The sequence below is a fragment of the Homo sapiens genome, chromosome 9 (assembly GCF_000001405.40).
Source record: "Homo sapiens chromosome 9, GRCh38.p14 Primary Assembly".
Lineage (NCBI taxonomy): Eukaryota > Metazoa > Chordata > Mammalia > Primates > Hominidae > Homo > Homo sapiens.
Genome location: NC_000009.12, coordinates 132,958,711 through 132,971,931, shown reverse-complemented (window position 1 = coordinate 132,971,931; position 13,221 = coordinate 132,958,711). Strand labels below are relative to the sequence as shown.

Below are 13,221 nucleotides of genomic sequence, written 5' to 3'. Positions count from 1 at the left end.
CATGATCTCAACTCACTGCAACCTCTGCCTCCCTGGTTCAAGTGATTCTCCTGCCTTCGCCTCCCTAGTAGCTGGGATTACAGGCACGTGCCACCATACCCAGCTAATTTTTGTATTTTTAGTGGAGACAGGGGTTTGCCATGTTGGCCAGGCTGGTCTCGAACTCCTGACCTCAAGGGATCTGCCAGCCTCAGCCTCCCAAAGTGCTGTGATTACAGACGTGAGCCACCATGCCCGGCCAACAGTAACGTTTTTGAAGTCTATTTTTCTTGTTTCTTTCTCTGTCTCTCCTTCTGTCTCTCTTGCCCTCTTTTCCTCCCTGCTTCCCTTTTCCTGTCTCTCTTTCCCACTTGTATGTGTTTATAATGTTTTCAATTCAAATTAATCCACATTGACCCTTTGCTTTTGAGTAACCACACAGGCAGATGACAACTCCCCCAGCTTGGAAGTTGAAGTCCCTTCAACCCTCCTGTCTTAGGGAACCTCAGATGGGGAAGGGCAGTATTCAGGTGGGAGGCCATGGGGTGAGGTTTGGGGTGCATCCACTTCTCGAGATGGCTGGTGTGCCTCAGAGAAGCATGGAAGGAGTGTGGGGGGGACACAGGGAACTTGGGTGGGAGTCAGGGACTCTGGGTGCAGGTGAAGTACAGGACAGCGTTCAGGCCACAGGCCTGCCTGAAGCTCCCCAGAAACCCTGGCAGGGGTGTCAAACCCATGGGCCCCACTTCTAAGTTTAGGAAATAACAAGAAGATTGACAAGTCCATCTGGGCCGGGCGCAGTGGCTCACACCCATAATCCCAGCACTTTGGGGACTGACGTGGGAGGATTGCTTGAGCCCAGGAGTTCAAGACTGGCCTGGGCAAAATAGTGAGTTATTATTTCTCAGCAGAAATATTCAACAGCTGACTATAAAACTCTGCCCTTTCTCTCTTTAACTGGATGGTTAAGAGCAGTCTTAGTTGCGGCAGGGTTAGGGTTAGGTGATGTCAGCTTGATTCTTATCAGGTGAGTGGTGCTAATTTACATGGCAGGTTGATTATTAATGAAACACCTGACATTTGGTTACCGCCCCATAAACTCTTGATGACTTCCGCATTGGTGTTCTCCCTAGAGACTCACAGAAATCCCACTCTGAGGCTGCAGAGATGAAGGAGGAGCGAATGAAAGTTTGTTGAAGCTTACCCTGGGCCAGACAGGGTGGAGGGGCTTTATACGCCTCATCTCTTAGTCTTTTGGAGCATTTTGCCGCAGGAAATTACCGAGCATATGATGGAAAACCAAGAACCAACCCCCAGGCAGGGCTGGCGCTATGGTCAACCACATAAGTAGGGGCAATCTGCCTGATCCACTAGGGCACAGACACACCCCCCTGGCCAACCTTTTCTGATGAGCACCACACTGCACGTCACAGATCAGGAAGCGTGGCCATGGATGCATGCAACTCTGTGCTCTTCCCAACAAGCTCTCTCTCTGTGTGCGTGCGTGCGTGCATGCGTGCGTGTGTGTTCATTAGCCAGCCTTAGGAGGGTACAAATCTCCCAGTGGGTCCTCACCTCCCCAGTCAAGCCCCTTCGAGTAGCACCCCCAGCAGGTACTGGCCTGGTGTCTGGGCAGGTTCAGCAAACAGAGGAGCTTGCTGTGGCTACTGATGGGGAGAGGCCCTGTCTCCTGTCTGGGTCAGGGAGGCTTGGACCCAGGGCTTGGCTCCAGTCTCCAGACCCAGGAAGCAAAACCTCAAAGGAACATATAAGGAAATGAAGAGCACTGTGGGAAGACTTCAGAGAATGTGCACCCCTTTGCAGAAGACTTGGGAATAAAAAACCCATTTAGGAAAGATCCCTCTCTTCTCCCATCGATGGGGTTCCTTCTCAACACTGATCAGCACTAAGAATGTGCTGGAAGGCGGGAGGCTGAGGTGGGGGAATCAACACCAGGGAGCCCTCCAGCAGCCAGGATTTGCACGCGATTTACATCTATTTTGCATGTACCGGCCGCCTTCGGAGATTTTAACTGTTTCATGAAATTTTCCCTGAAGGATGAACATTGTTCTCTTCCTGCTGCTTTTTAGCAAAACCCATGAGAGTCAGGGTGATGAAAAGAGGTTCCTTTCACCAAGGATGATGGAGATGCTGGGGAGAGTGGGCTTGTGAAAGTGGTCTGTTAACACATTTCTGCAAGATGAATGGTTTGCAGTTTTAAAGGGGCCCTTGTAATAAGCTCATTTGGAAAACAGGAAAGAGTCCTTTACAAATCATCTCACCCAGTTCCAGCAATCCCACGCACGGGTATAGACCCAAACGCACTGAAAGGCACGCGGAAAGATCTTTGCACACCCGTGTTCACAGTAGTGTTATTTACATCAGCCAAAAGGTAGAGGCAACCCAAGTGTCTGTGACAGATGAATGCATACATGGAATGTAGTTGGTCCATACGACGGAGTATTATTATTCAGCCTTAGAAAGGAATGAGGCTGTGACACAGGCAACAACCTGGATGAACCCCGAGGACGTTATGCTAAGTGAAATAAGCCAGTCACAAAAAGACAAATACGGTCACTTCATTTACCTGAGTTACCTAGAGTAGTCAAAATAATAGGGACAGGCCGGGCACAGTGGCTCACGCCTGTAATCCCAGCACTTTGGGAGGCTGAGGCAGGCGGATCTCCTGAGGTCTGGAGCTCAAGACCTGCCTGGCCAACATGGCGAAACCCAGTCTCTACTAAAAATACAAAAAAATTAGCCAGGCCTGGTGGTGCGCGCCTGTAGTCCCAGCTACTCAGGAGGCTGAGGCATGAGAAGCGCTTGAACCCGGGAGGCAGAGGTTGCAGTGAGCCGAGATCATGCCACTGCACTCCAGCCTGGGAGACAGAGTGAGACTCTGTCTCAAAAAAAACATAAAACAAATCATAGAGACAGGAAGTGGAATGGTGGTTGCCAGGGGTTGGGGGACAGGCGACTGGGGAGTTTGTATTTAATGGGGACAGAGTTTTGGTTTTGCGAGATGAAAAAGTCCTGGAGATGGATGGTTGTGGTGGTGGTTGTGGACTGATATGAACGTACTTAAGCCGATGCCACTGAACTATACGCTTAAAAATAATTAGGATAATAAATTGTATGTTCTGTGTACTTTATAACAATTAATTGATAAAAACCACAAAACCTCCATGCCTCTGAGGCCTTCATTTTCACAAATGGGGAAAGCAGAGGTACAGCGGGGTGAAGTAAGATCTAGAACCCAGGGAATGTTCCTACCTTGCGATTAGGATCTCAGACTCTTCTTACCGAATATTCTAATTATATTTTGACCTTCAAATATTTTTTAAACATTTATATTATATAAAATTTCAAACAAAAAAGCGAATTAATCTTATCTAATGAACACCCCAATATCTACTACCTATATTCAACAATAGTTAGCATCTGCCAGATATGCTTTCTGTCCCCTATGCATATCTAAGTGTATACAATTATATTTTACTTTAATAAAATGTTAAAAATACATATATTGCAGCCCAGGCATAGTGGCTCACACCTGTAATCCCAGCACTCTGGGAGGCTGAAGTGGGAGGATTGCTCGAGCCCAGGAGTTCGAGACCAGCCCAGGCAATGTAGTGAGGCCTCGTCTCTACTAAAAAAAAAATTTTTCTTTAATTAGCCAGGTGTGGTGGCATGCATGTGTAGTCCTAGCTACTCAGCATGCTGAGGAGAAGGATCACTTGATCCTGGGAGATAGAGGCTGCAGTGAGCTATGATCACCAGTGCACTCTAGCCCAGGTGACAGAGCAAGACACTGTCTCAAATCAAATAAATAAATAAATAAATAAATAAATAAATAAATAAATAAAAGAATGGCTGGGCACTGTGGCTCACACCTGTAATCCCAGTACTTTGGGAGGCCAAGGCAGGTGGATCATTTGAGATCAGGAGTTCGAGACCAACCTGGCCAACATGGTGAAACCCCATCTCTACTAAAAATATAAAAAATTAGCCGGGCGTGGTGGCACATGCATGTAATCCCAGCTACTCGGGAGGCTGAGGCAGGAGAATCGCTTGAACCCAGAGGCGGAGGTTACAGTGAGCCAAGATTGTGCCACTGCACTCTAGCCTGGGTGACAGAGCAAGAGTCCATCTGAGAAAAAAAGAAAAATATGTGTATACACACACATACACACACACACACGTGTATATATGTGTATATATATAATAGATATCATGACACTTCACCCATACTGGAGCATGTATCTCCTAAACATAAGGATATTGCTTTCATACATAATCACACAACTACAATGTCATTATCGTACCTAAGAAAATTATCAATAGTTCCCAAATGTTGTCGAATATCCAGTCTATATGGACATTTTTGCAGTTTCCCCCAGTTTTCTTTGATAGTTCCTCTTTTAGAATCAGGATCCAGACAAGTTGCAAGCATTGCATGAGTGTATTATGTCTTTAGCTTCCTTTATGATGGAAGAGCACCCCCTGCCCCTTTCTTTTCGTAATGATTTTTTCCCCCTAAAAGAGCCCAGGCCAGTCCAGTAGAAGGTTCAGCATTTGGGATTTTCTCATTGTTTTGTCATGGTGCCATTTAACCTCTTCCTCCACCTGCTGTGTCTTAGTCCATTTTCTGCTGCTATAACAGAATGCCACAGACTGGGTCACTTATAAAGAAAAGATTTATTTGGCTCACAGTTCTGGAGGCTGGGAAGATTGAGGGGCCACATCTGGTGAGGGCTTTTGTGCTGCATTACTCCATGGAGAAAGGCAGAAGGGCAGGCAAGCACCGAAGACAGAGAGAGTACAGGTGGGGGCTGAACTTCCCTCCCCAAAGAACTAATTCTCTCCATGGTAACAGCATTAATCTACTGATGAGGGCATGACCGAATCACCTGTCAAAGGCCCTGGCTCTTAATTCCTTCCCAATGACAATTAATTTCAAAATGAGTTTTGGAGAGGACATCTAAACCCTAGCACTCTGTGTCTTGGAACCCATATTCCCATGGCAATGCCTATTCCTGAATAAACATTATTTTCAAGACCTCACTGTGTCCTGGAAGTCAGGTCCTAGGCTTGGTTGGATTCAGATGAGATGTTTTAGGCACGGATACTTCACAGGTGACGCTGTGGGCTTCACTGCATCAGGAGGCATCTAACAGTAGGTTGTCCCACCTTAGTGATGCTGAGTTTGGTTAAAATGGTGACACCCAGTTCTCTCCATCATAACTGAATTAAGAAGCAATCTGCAGGTTAGGACTTTGTCGCCAAGCAAACATCCTGTTCTCCACAGTCTCCCCTACTGGTTTCAGCATCCATGGCAGCTCCTTGCTATAATCAATTACATCACTGGTGGCTTCAAAACTATTATTCTTCCAATTCTATCATTCCTTCTACATTTATTATCTGTAAAGAAGAGCTTTCTCTCATTAGCTGGGGATGAACCACAGTTCTAAAAAATGAGAGTGTAAGTGATTTGTCTTCTCTCCTTAATTGCTGATGTTCATAGCAAGGTGATGTAACTGGGATTTTTTCTTCTTTTTTCTTGTTCTTGTTCTTTTCTTTTTTTTTTTCTTTTTGAGATAGGATCTCACTTTGTTGCCTAGGCTGAAGTGCAGTGGTGTGATCATGGCTCACTGTAGCCTCAACTCCTGGGGCTCAAGTGATTCTCCCACCTCAGCCCCCTGAGGAGCTGGAACTATAGGTACGCGCCACCACACCTGACCAATTTTTTTATTTCTTGTAGAGATGGGGTCTCACTATGTTTCCCAGGCTGGTCTCAAACTCCTGAACACCAGCGGTTCTCCTGCCTTGACCTCTCAAGTGCTGAGAAAGCAGGCGTGAGCCACTGTGCCTGGCCTATTTTTGTTGTCCATTCTCTTTTCCCCCTTAAACTTCAGCATCGCTGTGAACTCATGGATTTTTTTAATAATTTAATTTAATTTTAAGTTCCAGGATACATGTGTAGGAAATGCAGGTTTGTTACATAGGTAAACATGTGCCAGAACTCATGGATTTTTATTTATTCAACATTTTACATTAAATTGCAGAAATTCTATTTTATGGCTCCTGTGGACACTATAGCAATTACATGTTGGGTGGCTTAAAACAACAGAAATTTCTTGCCTGTCAATTCTGGAGGCTGGAAGTCGGAAATCAAGGTGTCGGCAGGATTGGTTCCTTCTGGAGTCTCCGAGGGATGACCTGACCCAGGCCTCTCTCCCAGTGCCTGCTGGCTGCGGGCAATCTTTGGCATTCCTTGGCCTGGAGCTGCGCCACTCCAATCTCTGCCTCTGCCTTCATGGGGCCTCCCACTCCGTGTCTATGTCCGTCCTGCTTCTGTCTTATACAAGGACACAGGACATTGGATTAGAACCCAGCCGGCTAATCCAAGATGGTCTCATTTTGAGATCATTAATTACATCTGCACAGACCTTTTTCCCAAATACGGTCACATTCACAGGTACTGAGTGTTAGGATTTGGACCTATCTTTTTAGGGGGCCACTATTCAACCCACTACGGTTTCCTCAAATTTTGTCACGAACAGCACATCCAGGTTAGTTTCTGTATGGGTCTGACATTTCCGAATCAATCTTCGAGCATGTCCTTGCTTTCTAACACAAGAAGGTGACCCACTTGTACTTCCCCTGCTGCATTTCTGGAAGCAGCCAGTTCTTTCAGCCTAGTTCTATTTAGTGAGGGCTGGGATCTAAAGCCATGGCCAGGAGTTCTTGTTACTGGGCACCTGCCTCTAAGCTGTTTCAGTGTTCAGAACTAGGAAATCGATGCTTTTTAATTTATTTTTGTAATTATGACTTTGTCAATCTAAACAACAAACAGAGAGAAAGACTCTCTAGAAGAAAATAATGTTTATTCAGGTATAGGCATTGCAATGGGAATATGGGGGCCATAGTAAATTATTGATATGTACATATTCTGGGAGGTAAAGGAAGGCAAAAGTTTTTAAAGAAAAAATGAGGACCAGCCTGGCCAACATGGCGAAACCCCATCTCTACTAAAAATACAAAAATTAGCCGGGCATGGTGTCAGGTGCCTATAATCCCAGCTACACGGAAGGCTGAGGCCGGAGACTCGCTTGAAACCAGGAGGCAGAAGTTGCAATGAGCCGAGATCACGCCACTGCACTCCAGCCTGGAACTCCATCAAAAAAAAAAAAAAAAAAAAAAAAAAAAGGAAGAAAAATTGTTTTGAGATAATCATCCTTGGCTACAAGGATCAGTAACAAGGGTAGCACAGTTCAAGACTGGACAGGCAGTTGCTGGGCAGATGTCCTCACAGAAGTATTTTTGTGTGTGTAGAATTGTGACGGCCTTTGTGCAAGGTTGTGGTTTTTGCAAAATCTTTTGCGATAGTGATTGTGACCAGGCATTGATGCATGAGAACCCGCCCGTCATGGCCTTCCCCGGCTCTTCTTGTCAGGGTTTTTAATACAAGTGGCTGAAAATTGATTCAGACAATTTTCACAAGTTCCTATTGATATTCTCAGTTTGAATTTAGCATTACTGGGTTTTGTTTGTATACAGTGAAGGGGTCCAAGAGCCGTTTTGTTATATGCATAGATTGCATAGTAGTGAAGTCTGGTATTTTAGTGTATCCATCACCAGATAGTGTATATTGTACCCGTTAAGTAATTTCTCAGCATTATAGGTTTTTATTTAATTAATTTATTTATTTAGAGATGGAGTTTTGCTTTTGTTGCCCAGGCTGGAGTGCAATGGCGTGGTCTCGGCTCACTGCAACCTCCACCTCCCAGGTTCAAGCGATTTTCCTGCCTCAGCCTCCCAAGTAGCTGGGATTACAGGCGTGCATCACCATGCCCAGCTAATTTTGTATTTTTAGTAGAGATGGGGTTTCACCATGTTGGCCAGGCTGGTCTTGAACTCCTGACCTCAGGTGATCTTCCCACCTTGGCCTCCCAAAGTGCTGGGATTACAGGTGTGAGCCACCCATGCCCAGCCTGCATTATAGGTTTTTAAAAATACTTGATTTTATATTTGTGTCTCTTTTCTCTTACATTGGAAATCTTGGTTCTTGACAAAATTCGCATTTTTATCTCTGCATCTTACTGCGCCATAGTTTATTCAATCAGTCCCCTATTTTTTTTCTTTTTTAAACTTTTTTGAGAGGCTTTTGGGCAAAAACCAGAAAGCCTGCTAGACAAATTCTAAAAGAACTGTAACACTAATCAGTCCCCTATTAATTGACATTTGGGTTGTCTCCAATATTCAACTTTTGCAGATAATGCCATAAGAAATATTTTTTTGGCCGGGTGCAGTGGCTCACACCTGTAATCCTAGCACTTTGGGAGGCTAAGGTGGCTGGATCACCTGAGATCAGGAGTTCGAGATCACGCCACTGCACTCCAGCCTGGATGACAGCAAGACTCCATCTCAAGGGAAAATAATAATAACAATAATAATAATAATAATTTTTTTGAGACGGAATCTGTCTCTGTCGCCCAGACTGGAATGCATCTGGCGTGATTTTAGCTCACTGCAACCTCCGCCTCCCAGGTTCAAGAGATTATTCTGCCTTCGCCTCCTGGGTAGCTGGGACTACAAGTGCGTGCCACAACATGCCACTAATTTTTGTATTTTTAGTAGAGATGGGGTTTCACCACGTTGGCCAGGCTGGTCTTGAACTCTTGACCTCGTGATCTGCCCGCCTCAGCCTCCCAAAGTGCTGGGATTACAGGCATGAGCCACCACGCCTGACCAATAATATTTTTTTGAAATGAAAGTTCCCATATATGTAATACTGAACCCAGCCTACTAGTGTACAACATGTAAACAAAGAGAAAAAATAGATTCCTTTTTTTTTTTTTTTTTTTTTTTGAGATGGAGTCTCACTCTGTTGCCCAGGCTGGAGCGCAGTGGCGCCATATCAGCTCATTGCAACCTCTGTCTCCTGGGTTTAAGAGATTCTCCTGCCTCAGCCTCCCAATTAGCTGGGACTGCAGGCTGGTGCCACCACGCCTGGCTATTTTTTTTTTTTTTTTTGTATTTTTAGTAGAGATGGGTTTTCACCACGTTGGCTAGGCTGGCCTCAAACTCCTGACCTCAAGTGATCCACCCGCCTTGGCCTCCCAAATTAGTGGGATTACAGGCGTGAGCCATTGCGCCTTGTCAAAAATGTATTCCTAATAAAACATGTCAAACTGTCCAGATATGGTGACATTTTCAGCTTGATATGGTGATGATGGTGACCTTGATAGAACATAATATGTGTGTCATCTCATGTGTAATTCCTTATAGACCCAGCTTGGTTCTTCTTCAATATCTCCTTTTGGAGTTGTACCTAATTTGATTACCAGTTTTCATCTGATTCCACTGGGAAATGGGATGATTTTTGCTTTTGTTTCTTGGCCAGGAATCACTTAATCCTCAAAGTCTTGTGAGAAGACATGGCGAGAAGCAGAGTCAAACACACACCACGATAGCAGAGAAGGGAAGAGAGAGAGAAGAAAGAATCTTTTATGGGCCAGGAGAGGAGGCTCACACTTGTAATCCCGCACTCTGGAAGGCTGAGGTGAGCGGATCACCTGAGGTCAGGAGTTTGAGACCAGCCTGGCTAACATGGTGAAACCCTGTCTCCACTAAAAATACAAATAATTAGCCAGGCATGGTGGCTCGCATCTGTGGCCCCAGCTACTTGGGAGGCTTAGCCACGAGAACTGCTTGAACTCAGGAGGTGGAGGTTGCAGAAAGCTGAGATGGTACCACTGTACTCCAGCCTGTGTGACAGAGTGAGATTCTGTCTCAAAAGAAAAAAAAAAAAAGAAAAAAAAAACAATTCTGTATGCACACATGTGTGAGTGTAGGGTTGTGTGTGTGTGTGTGTGTGTGTGTAGAGTGTAGGTGTGTAGGGAAGATGCATAGCAAAGAAAGAATGCACACATTATGGCCTTAGATATGGCCAAATTCCTGTCTAGAGAGGGTGTGCAGTCCTGTCCTCCCACTCCCAGAAGTGTAGATTTGTTCCCACAGCCTTGCCAGCAAGGTGGGTTGTCAAATTTGGGGAATTTTGGCCGGGTGCGGTGGCTCTCACCTGTAATCCCAGCACTTTGGGAGGCTGAGGCAGGCAGATCACGAGGTCAGGAGATCGAGACCATCCTGGCTAACATGGTGAAACCCTGTCTCTATTAAAAACACAAAAAATTGGCCAGGTGTGGTGGCGGGCACCTGTAGTCCCAGCTACTGGGGAGGCTGAGGCAGGAGGATGGCGTGAACCCGGGAGGCAGAGCTTGCAGTGAGCCAAGATTGCACCACTGCACTCCAGCCTGGGCGACAGAGCGAGACTCCGTCTCAAAAAAAAAAAAAAAAAATGAGAGGTATTTTGCCAATCTGATAGGACAGGAGGAAGGGCATCCCAGGGTAGTTTTAATTTGTGTTTCCTTTATGTTGAGTGAGGCTGTCTTTTCATACTTCTTAGGGTCACTTACATTTTTCTGAAAACTTTCCATTTATGCCTTTTTTCTGTTGTTTTTTTTTTTTGTCAAATAATTGACTTTTCACAATTAAGACTGTGATATAATAGTTCTGTGTATATTAGAGAGGCCGTTTGTGATATAAGTTGCAAAAGTTTTCTCTCCGTCTATCATTTATCTTCTGACTTTGCTCTGCTTGCTTTCTTCTTACCATGGAAAAGGTTTTTGTTTTGTTTTGTTTTGCTTTGGTTTTTTGAGGTCGCCTAACTTATCGGTCTTCTATTGTTTCTGACTGTTCAGCCATTTTTAGAAAGGTTTTCTTCACTCCTGATTACACAGAATTCACTCATGTTTTCTTCTTGCACTCGTATGATTTCACTTTTGACACTTAAAGTTTATTCTGGTGTAGGGTGTGGAGAGGGATCTAACTTTATCTTTTTCCAAATGGTCACTGCATATGCTTCAGGGGAGGCGCAGCTAAAATAAAACCTCTAGCTGTGAATGCTGCTGCTTGGGGGACTGAGAAATGGTCTCACGGTGACCATGAAACTCTTTAACATCCAACACGCTGCGGAGTGTGGCCCGGCACAATTTATTGCTGGGGGTGTGTAGAGGCGTGATCAGGGATTTGAGAGAGGAGGTGGCCTACCCAAGAAGACAAAACACCCAGAATTTTAAATTTTAATTGAGCCAGGCTCGGTGGCTCATGCTTGTAACCCTAATGTTTTGGGAGACTGAGGTGGGAGGATCTCTTGAGACCAGGACTTCGAAACCAGCCTGGGAAACATAGTTAGGCCCAATCTCTAAAAAAATAAAAATAAAAAAAGTATCCGGGTGTAGTGGTACATGCCCATATTCCCAGCTCTTTGGGAGGCTGAGTTGGGAGGACCACTTGAGCCCAGGAGCTCGAGGCTGTAGTGAGCTATGATCGCACCACTGTACTCCAAGCAGGGACAAAGCGAGATCCTGTCTCAATAAATACATAAATAAATAAAATTGGCAGGCATCAATGTCAAGATGAAGCCTTTGACAACATTCCACAGACAGCTCTTTCCTTCTTTCCTGAACTCACAAACTTCCAGGGGTTCTGCGTTGCCTACAGATATAGCCCAGGCTGCTTATTTAGCCCAGGGTCCTTCATACATGACTTTTCTTGCCTCCTATTCCCTACACCTGACCATTTATAAAGCAAGCAAGCCTTCTGTGGTCTTGCTTCCCTGCTTCTGCTCAAGCTGGGTCCTACTGTCGTAAAGCCCATCTGCTCCATCACCATTGATCAAATTCTTGATGAAACCAGAAGCAAAGTTCAAGTCTCACCCTCACCAGTAAGTTGCCCTCATCACTCTAATTTTGACGTCTTTCTCCTGCAGCACTTTGTAGGGTGGTTCTGGGCTGGACCTGGCCTTGAGCAGAGTAGGATCAGTCTTTCCCATGTCATCTGCTGGGTCCATGCTCCTTGCCAGCAGGTATAGGGGACTGAATTATCTCCTCATCCCAATTCATGTCTACCTGGAACCGCAGAACGTGACTTTATTTGGAAAGGGAGTCTTTGAAGATGAAGTTCGGTTCAGCTGAATTCACACTGGGTTGAGGTGGGCTTTAAATACAATGCCTGGGGTCTCATAAGAAGAGGAGCAAACACAGAGGGACACAGAGGAGAAGCCTGCATGAAGATGGAGGCAGAGACTGGGCTGACGCAGCCACAGCCAAGGAACACCAAGCATGGCCAGTGACCACCAGAAGCTTAGAAAGAGCCAGGGAACAGCTGCTCCCTCGGAACCTTCAGAGGGAACCAACCCTGCTGACTGACACCTTGGGTTTGGGACTTTTGGCCTCGAGAATTGTGAGAGAATAATCTTCTGTTGTTTTAAGCCACCCAGTTTGCAGTAACTTGTTATGGCAGCCCTGGGAAATGAATATAGCAGGCATCAACAGTAACAATATTTACTCAGTGCTCACACTGCGTGGGCACTCTGCTAGATATTCACACGTGTCTCTCACTGGACTGTCCGTATTAACCTGTTCTCACGTTGCTGTGAAGAAATCCTGGCACTGGGTAATTTATAAAGGAAAGCAGTTTAATTGACTCACAGTTCCTCAGGGCTGGGAGGGCCTCAGGAAACTTACAATCATGGCAGGAGGGGAAGCAAACATGTCCTTCTTCAAGTGGCGGCAGGAAGGAGAAGTGCCGAGCAAAGTGGGGAAAGCCCCTTATAAAACCATCAGGTCTCGTGAGAACTCACTCGCTATCCCGAGAACAGCATGGGAGAACCACCCCCATGACTCAATTACCTCCCCCAGTTTCCCTACCATGACACATGGGGATTATGGGAACTACCGTTCAAGATGAGATTTGGGTGGGGACACAGCCAAACCATGTCACTGTCCTGGGAACCTTCTGAGCTGGGAATTTAAGGTATTAGTGTCATCTCCATTTTACAGACAGAGAAACTGAGGCTTGGAGACTCACCCAGGACCACACATCTTGTTTGCAGAGCCAGGATCCCAATAGGCCAGCCCTCTCTGTCCTCACCAGAGGGCCCGGCTCACCCACTGCACACCCTCAGCTGCCATGGCCAGTTCTCCTGGTCTCTCATTTACCTTCTGAATGCCAACACTTCCCAAATCTTGGCCTCTGCCTTCAAGTCTAAACTCCAAATCCACTGGGCCTGTCTCTCTGGCATCTCAATTGAGCTGGTCCCAAAGTGACATCAGCCCACGTTCTCTAGCCCAGTTCCTACCTCATGTCTCAGGGAATGGCACCACCCACACCCTAGCT

General features: G+C 45.8%; 1 protein-coding gene and 2 pseudogenes across 1 annotated transcript in view; all 3 read right to left on the bottom strand.

Annotated features, from left to right (window-relative positions):
* The window catches only part of GFI1B (growth factor independent 1B transcriptional repressor), a 47,904-nt gene that overhangs the window by 21,503 nt on the left and 13,180 nt on the right, over positions 1–13,221 (bottom strand). The gene's annotated exons all lie outside the window — the stretch shown is intronic.
* On the bottom strand, positions 8,139–8,199 carry RNU7-21P (RNA, U7 small nuclear 21 pseudogene; annotated as a pseudogene).
* RPL39P24 (ribosomal protein L39 pseudogene 24) lies at positions 9,161–9,470 on the bottom strand (annotated as a pseudogene).